Source organism: Homo sapiens, chromosome 1 (genome assembly GCF_000001405.40).
Source record: "Homo sapiens chromosome 1, GRCh38.p14 Primary Assembly".
NCBI lineage: Eukaryota > Metazoa > Chordata > Mammalia > Primates > Hominidae > Homo > Homo sapiens.
In genome coordinates, this window is record NC_000001.11 from 61,836,003 (window position 1) to 61,850,072 (window position 14,070).

Genomic DNA, 14,070 nt, shown 5'->3' on the forward strand with positions numbered 1-14,070 from the left:
ATCTGTAAGTTTTATATTTTGAATAGTGCACATATTAAGTCAGAGAAATGTTTCAGAACTCAAAAAAATTCAGTAAAGGATGGAAAGAAAAACTAGATAGTCCTTAAGAATTTAATCCCTAGTTAAAAGGAAAACCCCCTTCTGAGCTTTACGCTTAAAAACATCTATAGTCAGTTCTAAATGTAGAATTTTTTGTTCTTCATTGCATTCCTGTAGGTATGTATTGTAACTTCTATTGTTTCTTGAAATTTTATTTTTAATTTATAGAATTATAGGATTTTCCTTTTCCTCTTATTTACCTCTCAATCAGCAGCACACATACTGACATTTGTTTCTGTACAAATTATGTAAAATAATTTTCTGCCAACAAAGGATTAGATATTCTTTTTGTCTTTGTGCTTCTTATAGAACATAACTACTTAATTTCCTAAAGGCCATTTTGATTCAGATTAAAGGGCTCATCTTATTTACTTCTACAGCTAAACCTTGGGGAATGGGGAGGGGAACACATTCAATCCTAACTTGGATGCTTTTCTTAAGTCAGTCTTAAGTGTACTTACAGATGTGTACAGCACATTTTTCACCATTTGTCAGTGGTACCTAGAACTGTTATCTACCATGACATTTAGATGACAGGTAAACACAACTCAAATTTGGTTTTGGGCAAGTTAATTAATCGGTTATACCATCCCTTGTTGTAATTAGGTAATAAATTCTAAAGTTCAAGAATATTTTTTGCAAGGCCAGGCAAAGGGTTTAGCAAAAGCCATGAAAGGCCACGTCCCTGGCTATTATTGCATTCAGCATGTCCTGTATGAATTTATTAGGTAGCTGAGTAGGGCCAAGGCAAATTCTTGCCCTGCCAGGCCTAGCATGTTCAGAACAAAAAGTACTGCAGAAACATTTAGCTACAGAGAGAAAGTATTGGTAGAGGGAGAGAACTTTTACGTTGTAAAGGGCTTACTTAGCATTATTGTAGAGATTGAAAATTTACTTTGGAATATCTCATTTCAGTTTAACCACTTTTCTCATGAACAGCCTTTTCTCTAGAACAAGAACTTTTTGAAGAGCCTAACAAAATTACATTAATCTATTTCATTGGTGTTTATGTACCTCCAAATTTATAAAATGGAGATAGTAATGTCTAGCACAAAGGATTGTGTGGTTTAAATGAATTAGTGTGTAAGGAAATAGGAAATGTTATGTTATTATGGAAATATATTAACAATTATTCAGTTTAGAAAATAAACACAAAAGTTTTTGATACTGTCCTCAAAGATGGCACCACACTATAATGTTTGTACTCTATCAATTCTTTAACTCTCTAGTTAGATTACAAAAATTAATAAGTAGATGCCTTTGTTTAGTGAAGTCTAAATTTAATCTTAAAATTGTATTCTAAAATGCAGCCAATTCTTGATGAGCCATATGTGAATTACCCAATTGTGGATTATTGGCCAGAAGTTTGCGTTTTATATAAATTGAACTGAACTTTAGGAAAAGAGACCAGGCGCAGTGGCTCACACCTGTAATCCCAGCACTTTGGGAAGCCAAAGTGGGCAGATTGCTTGAGGCCAGAAGTTTGAGACCAGCCTGGCCAACATGGTGACACCCTGTCTGTACTAAAAAATACAAAAATTAGCCAGGCGTGGTGGTGCATGCCTGTAATCCTAGCTACTCAGGAGGCTGAGGCAGTAGAATCCTTTGAGCCTGGGAGGCGGAGGTTACGGTGAGCTGAGATTGCGCCACTGCACTCCAGCCTGGGAGACAGAGTGAGACTCTGTCTTAAAAAAAAAAAAAAAAAAGGGAAAGATGAGTGAGCAGATAAAGGAGCTTGAATTAGTCTATAGAACAATAGGGTAGCTCTCTGGACCGGTCAGTGACTCAGAATATTGATGAAAGTTGTGTAACTGAGCAGAGAAAAGAGGTATGCCTTTATACGTGAAATGATCAGCTGAGTCTGATACACAGTTCTACAACTGAGTCATATGGCCAAAGTACAAAGTGTGAAAATTCATTTCATTAAAGACATTTTAAATTAGATTGGGTCAAAGACAAAAGAGAAAGCAACAGGGAAGACAATAAATGTGATTAGGTTATAAGTTTCTTTATTAGCTCTTAGGGTACAGTGGTAGTAGCTTTGTTGGCTATTATTTGAACAGAGGTAGAATATTTGTTAGTCTCAAATACGCCTAGCCACTTCATGTAGTGGCTAGTTAAAATCCCACTCTGTATGTGTGCCGTATTAGGAGATTCACTGATCTCCATTGTCATGCCTTATAGGATTGTGTCATGGCAAACAATGCGTGTAATTTGTCAAGAGCATGAATATGATGGCTTGACTGAGTACTCTGTTTCTTTTTTTTTTTTGAGATGGAGTCTTGCTCAGTCGCCCAGGCTGGAGTGCAGTGGCGCGATCTCAGCTCACTGCAAGCTCCACCTCCCGGGTTCACGCCATTCTCCTGCCTCAGCCTCCTGAGTAGCTGGGACTACAGGCACCTGCTACCACGCCTGGCTAATTTTTTTTTTTTTTTTTTTTTTGTATTTTTAGTAGAGACGGGGTTTCACCGTGTTAGCCAGGATGGTCTCGATCTCCTGACCTCGTGATCCACCTGCCTTGGCCTCCCAAAGTGCTGGGATTACAGGCGTGAGCCACTGCGCCCGGCCGACTGAGTACTCTGTTTCTAAGCAACAAAACTCTTCAGAAACTTGGTTATAAGTTTTTATACTGTAATTTCTTGCCAGTTTGTAGGTGAGGTTTTTATATTATACCTTAGTTATCTCTGTCTTCTTTCCCTAGTATTTATGTGTAATGTCTTTATTCCTTAGACTATGGTCTCCGTGGAAGATTACTGATACTCCCACTAGTATTAATAACAATGTTAGGTAACATTTACTGAATGTTTACTGAGTGCCAGGTAATGTTCTAATTGCTTTACATGTATTAGGCTATGTATTCCTCACATGAACCATATGAAAGAGATACTCTTATTGTTGTCATTTTAGAAGTGAAGAAACTGAGGCACAGAAAACTTAAGTAATTAGTCCAATTCATACAGGTAGTATATGGTAGAACTGAAGCAGTTGGGCCCCAGGTCTTTTTTTTTCTTTCTTTTTCTTCTGCCGCCGACTCCTCCACCAGGTCTATGCCTTTAACCATCATACTATACTGCTCTTTCCTTTGTGAGTGCTATTTCCATGTGCATTTTATTATAGGGCATCCATACAGTAAACTTATTACAGAAGACCTTTCTGTTTTTTCAGCTTGTGAAAAATTTCATATCTTAAAAACTAAGCTACTAGATAGTATTCTCATTTTTCATGCTTATATGAAAGTTTAGCAGGTATTAAAAATTAATATAGTGTGCTCATATGCATTGTGTAAGAGCTAGTTTTATTGCTTCAGAAGACCATCATTGCAAATTTAAGAATCCTAAACTAGTGCAAGTAATTTGTTGTGGGTTAATGTTCAATAATGAAACAATGATTAGGTAGTCCAAGAGTCTGTAATTTTTAATTTCTACCAAAAAGCTTGAAAAAAAATTAGAACTGTATGGATTTTACCTTCAGTTGACCTTATAAATTAAACATGGCAAGTAGATATTTTCTGGTGTTTTGATTTATGTTGAACTTTGAATAACCCCTCATGATTATAATTCACTGGAAATGTTTGACATTAGCTAATTTTTGAACATTAGCCATGATATTGCCATCCTTGGTACTTTTTGAATTTCAGTGATTTAGAAGATAAAATTTATTAACCAATAATTCTCCTCCCTCCTACATCCTATTCCTCATTCCTCTCCCCTCTTGAGTGACTCAATTTTTGCCAAAGCTGATATTTTTGAAACACTATTTTTATCTCTCTCAAAGTCTGAGAGAGATAAAAATAGAAATCATAATAACATAGCCATTGGGAGGTGATTCATATGTAAATACTGTTAGTAATGCTTTAAAAATTTGCTCGAAACCAAAGTCAAATGGCGACTCATTAAAAAGAATAGTGGAAATATTTCTCCCTATAAAAATTGACAGTTATTAATTTTTCTTAAAAGAGGAAATGGGTTATAAAACCAAAATATAAAATATTGCAGTGTTACTGAGTCTTGAATATAGTATGCCTTAGTATTTGTGCAAAAAATCTAGTGTGTAGTTTTGACTGCCTATTAACTCTGTTAGAATTCTCTTTTTAAAAGATTTATAAAAGTTGTAGGACGGGATTGTATACATTTCATGTATGTCTTTAAGTTGTCTTTTTCCTTACCCTATGCACAACAGAATGACTTTCTGAGCACATTGAAAATGTTTTAAAAATAGGTAATACATACATATGGCAGAAAAATTCAAAGGTGTATAAAGATATCCTGTGACAAGTAAATCTACCTCTGACCATAATCCCTTACTTCTTCCAGGTAAAAAACCTTGGTTTTTCTTGTCCATCCTTCCAGAAACATTTTATATATACATGGTTATATAAGTAATAGTACTTATTTAATTTTAAAAAAACTTTGACATATAAATGGATTATATCATACACACTTTAAAGGCTCTGTATTTTTTTTCTTAAAATTATATGCTCTTTCATTTTGGTACTTATAGAGCTACCTCTTTTTAATGACTACATAGTATTTTTATTGTTGATGTACAATAATTTATTTCATCAGCCTCCTGTACCCAGTTGGTGGGCATTTTAAGTAAGGCTTTAGTGGATATTTTTGTGATACTCTTTTGTTAAAAGGTGGGAATAAATCTTGTAATAGGTAGGTGATAAATTCCTAGAAGTGGAATTACTCATCAGAAGAGCATACTGTATCTTTTAAATTTTGGTACATATTTACCAAATAGCTTGCATTTAAGTTTGTGAGACTCAAATATATTTAGACCACTTAAAATGGATCCTTTCTTATGTAGAGTTATTTCTTTATTCCGATAATTCTCATGGAAGATAGTGTAAGCAGGTGTGTAATTCATGAATTTGCTAATGGTTTTCTATGATGTGGACAGATTAAGTGATAGCAATATATAACTATCAATTTTGTTTCAACTTTATATATGGCGGTAATTAATTTATTGGCCTTTGTAGCTAAGTGGGCATAAAGTGTTTATATTCAGACTATGATATTAGTGCCCCAAACTCTATTTCTATTTCTTCCACTTAATTTTATTTATTTATTTCTTCTTCCACAAATTTTAATCTTGTTTTACTTTTGTTTATTAGAGAATTTAGCTTAAAGTGGTGGGGTTGGGGGGAGGGCATTAGGACTTTAATTTTTACCAAGAGATTTGAGAATTTGAGTAAATGCTAATATCAGTATATAGTTTTCAATAGCCTGTGCAAGCCTACTGTCTTCATGTTCATCTTAGCTAATCAGTTTACAGAATGTAGGATTTAGCATTTGATAGGTATTGATATAATTTTAACACATTAATAGTATATAGAGTGGTAACACTATAAAGTCAGGTATGTAACCATATTATTTCCAGAATCTAAAATATAAAGGATAGGCATGTACTATAAGTTATTATACAGTTTCACATTAATGCTCAAGGGATCTTATAACATGGCCACTGACATCTAGGTTTTTTTTTTCTCTTGCCTTTTTTTTTTTTGGGAGCTCTTTGGGTCCACGTCACCCATATAAGATATTGGTACTAAGCAAAATGCAGTCAATCTGCTACTAATGGCAGTATCTGTAGTCTTGCAGATATATCATATGCCTTACTGTTGAACAAACCACACAGCTGCATTTAAAGGTCACTTTTTGCTTAACGGAACTTAGGGGAACTGATAAAGGCTACTTTTTGCCCATCCCTGACTCCTATCCACATTTATTTTTATTAACATCAAAGTACTGTAAGTTCCAGTGCCAACTGGGCTGAAGATTTCTTTTCACAGAGGATTTGCTTCCTTTCCCTCTATGGGAAAGTTCTGTATCCCTTAAATCATTTTAAGCTGCTTCATTTGAAAAATAATTCTTAGTGGTGTGCTCATGGAGTGGATTGATTGTGGCTACTGGGGAAATTCTCTCATGGCTTAAGTTTTGCTTTTCAAGCCTGCAAAGTGGGTGAATGAAGGGAGCCCACTCCTGGTGTGTGCAGTTTGTAGTGTGCTCAGGATGACGACTGACTTCCAAAAACCTCAGTGCAGCAAGACTAAAGGCATCAGGAGACCAGAAGCCACTTAATAAGAGATCAAAGAGGCTGTGTGTATATCAGCTTGAAATCCAGATAGTACAGATCAAAAGCTTGCCTTAGTGAGGCAGCTGCAGGGGGATAAAGTTAGCAGGAGGCCTCAAAGATCTTAAGTCAGGCCTGATGTTGAACTTTGCAGGGATTTCATCGCTCTGGAATACGAATGTGGCAAAAAATCCCATTGTGTCTAGTGGGGGCGAAAGAGAATAACAGGCAAGCAGCAAATGCTTGTCAGCTTTCTCATAGGGTAGCTTTCCTTTTAACACGTGTTTATCCATGACAGTTTCTGCTTCATACTTGAAGGCATTGTTGAGGAGGAGAGGATCCTGAAGATGGTGAATCTACTGTATTACCTTTAGTGAGTGTTTCAGACGTGGCCAAACTATAAATATTAGTGTTTTTGGAATGGCCATGGAGAGCTAAAATGTGGCCATAAAGGTGCTCAGATTTACTGCCATAACTGGTAATCACATCTCTCCTGCAAAGTGCTCAAGATATCCAGGAAGTGAGTGGGTATCAGCCTGGCTATGCATCTGTCCCTCATGTAATTAAAAAACAGAACAGCTATTAAAAAAAAAAAGGAATAGGAACAGTTAATCGAAAGAAGAAACTCGGTCCCCAGAGGTGTTTCATCACCAGTCTTCTACCTGTAGCAATGGATGTGTTCTGGAGTTCCCAGTTGAGTGTGATGTCAGTATTAAGAACCATGGTAGTAGATAAAGTCATAGCCCTTCCTAGAGTGTGCCAGAGTGATTGAATCAGATTAACAAGTAGGTATTGGAAATCTGTTTGTTCAAGGTGTGATGATTTGTGCTCCTCCACCTTGTTTGTGAGTGTCATTTGGAGCAGGCAGTGATCCAGAAAAGCCAGGCTTTCCCAGTGAGTGCCAGGAAGTGGTGCTGCCTCCTTCTGGTACCAAACATCTAGTCTGTGAATGATGCTTGAAAGCAGATTGACTTGACTGGCTGATTTTTACACACCATTTCTAGGGCTCAAGTTTCCCTTTCAGCCCTTTCCTCTGTATTTTATTTTAATCTGATATTACATTTATCAGTACAGCACTGAACATATGGTATGGTTGAGAGGACTAGCTTACGAGTCAGAAAGCTCCCAAACGTCCAGGTTTGCATTCTGGATATACTCTTGGGACTTTGGCAAGCTTGTTAGTCTTTCTTATTCTCTGTTTACTAAAATGATAATATCTAAAATAGAAGTAATATTTGCTTTATAAGATTACAAGGACTAAATAAAAAGATGAATATAGGCTGGGTGTGGTGGCTCATGCCTGTAATCCCAACACTGGGAGGCTGAGGCAGGAGGATTACTTGAGGCCAAGAGTTCAAGACCAGCCTGGGCAACACAGTGAAACTGTCTCTACAAAACCAAAAAAACTTAGTCAGGCATGGTGGCGTGCACCTGTAGTCCCAGCTACTCGGGAGGCTTGAGTCCAGGAGTTCAGAGGCTGCAGTGAGCTGCGATCACACCACTGCACTTCAGCCTGGGTGACAGAGTGAGATCAGGTCTCAAAAAAAAAAAAAAAATGCATATAAATGCCTATGCTTTTCTTAACTCAAAATAATCAGTGTTCCTATTATATTTACTGAAAAATGATGATAATGATAATGAAGATTTTCAAAGATAGAATCTGGGTACAGATTTGTTGTGCTTGTTATTCATTCTCACCTTTAAAAGATACGAGCCAGTATGGAGACTATAAAAATGAAAAGGTATACTCCTATATATAATAAATATTTGCTGAGCATCTCCTCTTCCAGGTATTGTTCTAGGCATTGGGGAGCTAGCAGTGAACAAATTAGATGAAGTCTGTCCTCATGGAGTTTAAATTCAATTTGGAGTAGACAGACAGCGGACAAATAAGCATATATTACAACAGAATAAAGAGAACAGACTTGGCAACAGCTCTGTACAATATGTTATAATTTTAGCAATGGTGAAAGTAAGACTAAAAGACTCTCTGAGTGTTATTTCTTGGGATCCAGAGAGGCCCCAGGGGGAATTGAGGTCTGCTGTGTGGACAGTAAGGGATTGGACATTCCAGCCACAGTGAATAACCCAGAATTAATAAGTTAGTCCTGATTTCATGTTTTTATTTTCTTTTGTAACTAAATTGCTTAATATTTTCCTTAACTTTCAAATTTTATTTATTTTAATGAAAAATCCTTTGAAAACTTTGTGTTCTGATTTTTTATTTGGAAAACATGGCCACATGGTTTAATAGCTAACAATTACGTACTGCTTACAGTTCCCTCTTTTTTGAGGTTTCCCTTTCCATGGCATCAATTACCCACTGTCAACTGCAGTCTGAAAATATTAAGCTATTTTTGAGAGAGACCATATTCACATAAATTTTATTACCGTGTATTGTTATACTTGTTCTTTTTTTATTATTGTTATTAATCTCTTACTGTGCCTAATTTATAAATTAACCGTTATCATAGGTGATACGGTTTGCCTCTGTGTCTCTACCCAAATCTCATCTCAAATTATAATCCCCATGTGTCAGGGGAGGGACCTGGTGGGAGGTAATTGGATCATGGGGATGGTTTCCCCCATGCTGTTCTTATGATAATGAGTGAGTTCTCACAAGATCTGATGGTTTAAAAGTGTGTGGAAGCTCCCCCCTCATTCTCTCTCTCTCCTGCTGCTGTGTAAGATGTGCCTTGCTTCCCCTTTGCGTTACACCATGATTGTGAGTTTCCTGAGGTGCCCCCCAGCCATGCGAAACTGTGAGTTAATTAAACCTCCTTTCTTTTACAAATTACCCAGTCTCAGGTAGTTCTTTAGAGCAGTGTGAAAATGGACTAATACAACAGGTAAGTATGTAAGGGAACAATCATAATATATATAGGACTTGGTACTATCTGTGGTTTCAGGTATCTGCTGGGGGTCTTCGAACGTATTCCTTATAGATAAGGGGGGACTACTGTACTCTGTGTCAGGAATTGTTTAAAACACTTTAGGTATATTGACTGATAAAATCTTCTACAACCTCCAGGCTGTAGGTCCTGTAATCATCCTTGTTTTATGGATAAGGAAAACTGATGCTGAGGTTAAGGAGTTCACTCATGACCACCCAGTTAGTAAATGGAGCTGAGCTCCTGAGTCTGTGGTTTTGTCAGGTATAGTCTGTAGACCAAAAACAATACTAATTCTTCATAATTATGGCTCAACTGAAAGGTGATAGAAATTTCTAGTTATTTTGTCATTCTAGAGAAACATACTTAATATAATTTTAAAAGCTTTTCTTCAGATTATTCTTGAAGCCTTATGATCCCTTGCCTTTACTCCTCTCACCTGGCCAAAGCTCTTCACTGACATAATTTTTATTTATTTATTTATTTTTTGTCACCCGAGAGTATAAACTGTATGCTTTACCTTGCATTTCCTAGCAGGACTCCTTGGCCTTTTTCCTGTACAGTTTCAAAGTTAGCAAAGTTTTATTTCTACATATTGTGTGCTGTATATCAACACTGGTTGACCTTTCAAGGATTAAAAAGAGCAAAACACTGCAGAATCTTTTCTAAAGAATGAAGGGCATCCTGTGACTTTGACGTGGCTGTGTTGTCAGACAATCTCCCAGTCTAGAGATGGCTCCAATCTTACAGTGTCTGCTCAGGGAGAATGAAGTTTGAGGATGCCATGCTGTTCTGAGCCTTTCTTTATGCATTCAAGAGGTTATAGATCTGCATATCTGGAGGGCATAGATTCAACCCTGTGTTTTCATATTTTAATATTTGAATGTAACACCACGAGGTGAGGGGTTTAGCAGATGATAGCACTGTTGGTCTAAGTTACATATGCTCAGTTGAATTTAGAAGGCAGTAAATCGGATGGAAACTCCTCAAACCCATATGTCCTTTTAACATCTTTTCCATCATAATTCTCATAGTAATAATAGTAATGTTAATATAATAATAATGTTATTATTACTGTGAGAATTATGATGGAAAAGAAGTTATTACTATGAAGCGATTTCTATGGACTAAGCACATTACATGCTTTTAATAACTGTGAAATCTGTACTATTGTTATTTCCATTTACAAATGAGAAACTCAAATCTTCATGATTAAACAACTTGATCACTATCATTCGGCTAGTATTTGTGCTTAGGTTAAGTTGACAGTGATTTGTTTGGAAAATTAAATTCCAAAATCAGTATTTGCAAAGCTTTTAAGTTTTATATGTCTGTACTTTCCCTGCATCATAATACAGTTTCAACTAATACAACTTTTTTCTGGAAGATAATGGACTATTTCTTATTTATAAATTCATATTCTACATTTATAAAAATTGTAAGGTACACTTAACATAAAATTTACCATCATAACTTTTTAAATGAATAGTTTAGTAGTGTTAAGTATATTCACATTTCAACTAATGTAATTTTTGTTATTTTTTGAGAGGGATTCTCATTCTGTTGCCCAGGCTGGAGTACAGTGGTGCTATCTCGGCTCACTGCAACCTGCACCTCCTGGGTTCAAGGAATTCTCCTGCCTCAGCCTCGCGAGTAGCTGGGATTACAGGTGCGCACCACCAAGCCTGGCTAACGTTTTTGTATTTTTAGTAGAGACGGGTTTTCGCCATGTTGGCCGGGCTGGCCTCGAACTCCTTGTCTCAAGTGATCTGCCCGCCTTGGCCTCCCAAAGTGCTGGGATTACAGGCATGAGCCACTGCACCCAGCTACAACTAATGTAATTTTAGTGCTTGGGTACTACTGTCTGCCTGGTGGAACCTTAGGCATTTCAGCAAGATGATGGGGCTTTTAGATAAAGGATAGTTGTATGATTTGTTTTGTTTTCCTTACAACTAGCAAAAGTCCTGGACCAGGACTGACTGGTAACCATGTAAACAATTCCAGCATAACATAAAATTTTCAAGAGATGAAACATCCAAGGAATGTATCTAATACAGAAAGAAGTTATTCAACAGGAGACCAGAAGGGTTATGAGAAAGGAATAGTCTTCAAGAAGTGATTTCCATGGGACTCCTGCTTAAACCATTTAAAATATTGGGGTGCTTAAAATAGGTTTTTAAAGTACTAAGCTTTATAGGATAAAAGTATGTGCAAGCTTATGTACTTTTTGTTCCTCTTAAGAATATATTTTGATCTTTTAGCAGGTTCCTTTGTCCACTTCTCTTCCATTTTGCTTTTTATTGCTTTCTGTGCTGTGCTTACTGTGCAGCTCTGGGACTGTTTAGTTCTATGTCTGATGTGTGGAAAAATCTATTCTTACTGCCTAATAGTGTTTAGGAAGTAATAAGACACAAGGAGCCAGGAACCGTATCAGTTTAATCTATCTTGAGTGGACTGAATGTACTTTGTGGGCACTTATTTTGAACATGATGGTGCTGTGGTAATTGGTATGATTAGTGTAATACTTTGCTATATTATAAAATAGTTAAAAATGGAGTTAGATGTTAGATAAGATAGCTTGCTCATTATTCATTAGAATCAATTAGTTATTACTTTGCATTCACTATAAACACATTTATTTCTCTTTCCCAAAAGTAAATGCTTAGCTTATTGGTCAAATCAGAAGACAGTCTTTTGAAATGATTAATTATACCCTATTGTTTTAAACCAGAACTGTTCTCGTGATTTTAATTCAGCTAATGGTTCCTGACATGGCTTCTGTTGCTCTGAAAATGGCAAAGGAAAAAGAAGAGGTGTTTTAAGATATATCTTATCAAAAAAGGAGACATGCTGTCATATGTATTTTGTTGTTTTTTTTTATAGTAAATACCCTTTTTGAGTTTTGTGACCAAAATGTACATCAATTTCATTGCTGATGCAGTGTTTTGAATTAACTTCTGTCTTTCGTTACTTTTTATAGTGGTTTTGTGAATGTTTGGATAGAAACTAGGGACAAATTTGAGTCAAGATACTCTGTCAAATTAAGTTATAGGATTTTAGAGTTGAAAGAAGGGATCATAACTCATGTATCCAACTTTTTCATTTTATGTTTGTGAGGAAACTGACTCAGAGAAACGAAGACACTCGTGAAACTCTACACATCCAGGTGGGGACCGGGCTAGGTCTCAAAACTTGTCTCTTCTAATCCACACTCATCTTAACACTAATGGGCTGAATATCTGCCTTCATTCTGTCTGTCTCTTATATATCTTTTCTGCTTTTTAAAAATCTTGGAATTCTTGTTTTCTGACATTACTCACAACGGAAATTTTAATTCATGCTAGCTGTGCCACCGAGCTTGTGCCGATCACTGTTTTCCTTTTTCCTTAAGGTATACAAATCTGTGTGTGAGTGTACGTGTGTATAAAAGAACCTTTCCTTTGCCTCTTTGTACCCAGTTCCTCCTTTTGCCTACCTCCAGAATGAAATAGTTGTCTCCCTTTTATTTATTTATTTTTAATGTTTTTTAGAGACAAAGTCTCACTGTATTGCCCAGGGTGGTCTTGACCTCCTGGACTCAAGCGATCCTACCCCCTTGGCCTCCCAAATTGCTGGGATTACACTATGCCCGGCCAGCTGTCTCCCTTTTAAACTTAATGGTTTCTTTCTGCATTCTCTATTTTAGCAACTTCCTTGAGATGTTGCTTTGAAGATTAATTTAGCTGTTAATTAATTTAGATTTTAACTTAATACTCCTTAGTTCAAATAATAATGGCCACATTTAAGAGTATACTTTTCAAGAAGCCAATATCTGGCTACCTGCTGTTTCATAGTTTCCTCAGTTGACCATTATTAAGTTGGAATAATTCTCTTATCCAATATTACAGAGCTAACTATTCATGTTGTCCAGAAATTTGTGTGTAGTCCCTTTAAAATTATCTTTGAAACATACTTTCTCTTACTGAAATAAAAATACATATCTGTGGAATGAAGCTGAAAGCCTAGTTCTGTAGTGACATGTGGTACAGCATTGAACTTGTTGGTTGGTAGATTGTTTCTTTTCACTTGTAGAGTACTTTCTATTTCAGAGTTGATTGAAGTTGTTTTGCTAGTCCTTCCTTGGAATCATTTCATCCTTGTGAAGGACCTCTGTAATACAGCTGTAGAGCAGGTATTTTGGTGTGGTGAACTATACAACACAGCCTAGAACTTTAATAACATACCATTAAGACTATATAAATTAGGTCAGGCATAGTGGCTCATGCCTGTAATCCCAGTACTTTGGGAGGCTGAGGTGGGAGGATCCCTTAGCCCAGAAGTTTGAGATCTGCTGAGCAACACAGGGAGACCACATCTCTACAAAAATTAAAAACGATTTAGCTGAATGTGGTGTACACTTGTGGTCCCAGCTACTCAGGAGGCTGAGGTGGGAGGAGCACTTAAGCCCAGGAGGTCGAGACTGCAGTGAGCCGTGATTGTGCCACTGCACTCAAGCCTGGGCGACAGAGTGAGACCCTGTCTCAAAAAAGAAAAAAGAGACTCTATGAGTTAACCATATTTCCTCTCATGAGTTTAGTTGACCAACTTTATATGTAATACACTCAGTTGACAGTAAGAGTCAAAATTATCAAAGGAAATAAACTATGATCCATCTCTTTGCCATCCTGCTGTGTGGTCTTTAAATTCCTATCCTGTTATTTGATGTCTTTAAAAGTTTGAGTGTTACATACAGAATAAATTTTTTAAAAACAAACAAACCCAAAAGATATTCTTCATTTTGAATGTAGTTAAGTCTTTGTTACACCTTGTGTTTCTTTATTGGGGTAATACTGCTAAGCATATAAATGTTAAATATTAGAACAATTCTTGGTATATATCTCCTGTTCTTATTTCCTAAATGCCTCTTATTGATGCATTTGCCAGTTTATTACCTATGACACTTTTCTTGTTGATTCCTTCTGTCTCCTCTTTATGTCACATTCTCTACTTCGTGTCTTTTCAC

General features: G+C 36.4%; 1 protein-coding gene and 1 non-coding gene across 24 annotated transcripts in view; both read left to right on the forward strand.

Annotated features, from left to right (window-relative positions):
* PATJ (PATJ crumbs cell polarity complex component) overlaps positions 1 to 14,070 on the forward strand; it is a 421,436-nt gene that overhangs the window by 93,523 nt on the left and 313,843 nt on the right. The window lies entirely within an intron of this gene.
* MIR12132 (microRNA 12132) lies at positions 10,073 to 10,174 on the forward strand. The gene has a single exon (NR_162146.1). It is a non-coding gene; the product is annotated as a microRNA 12132 (primary transcript).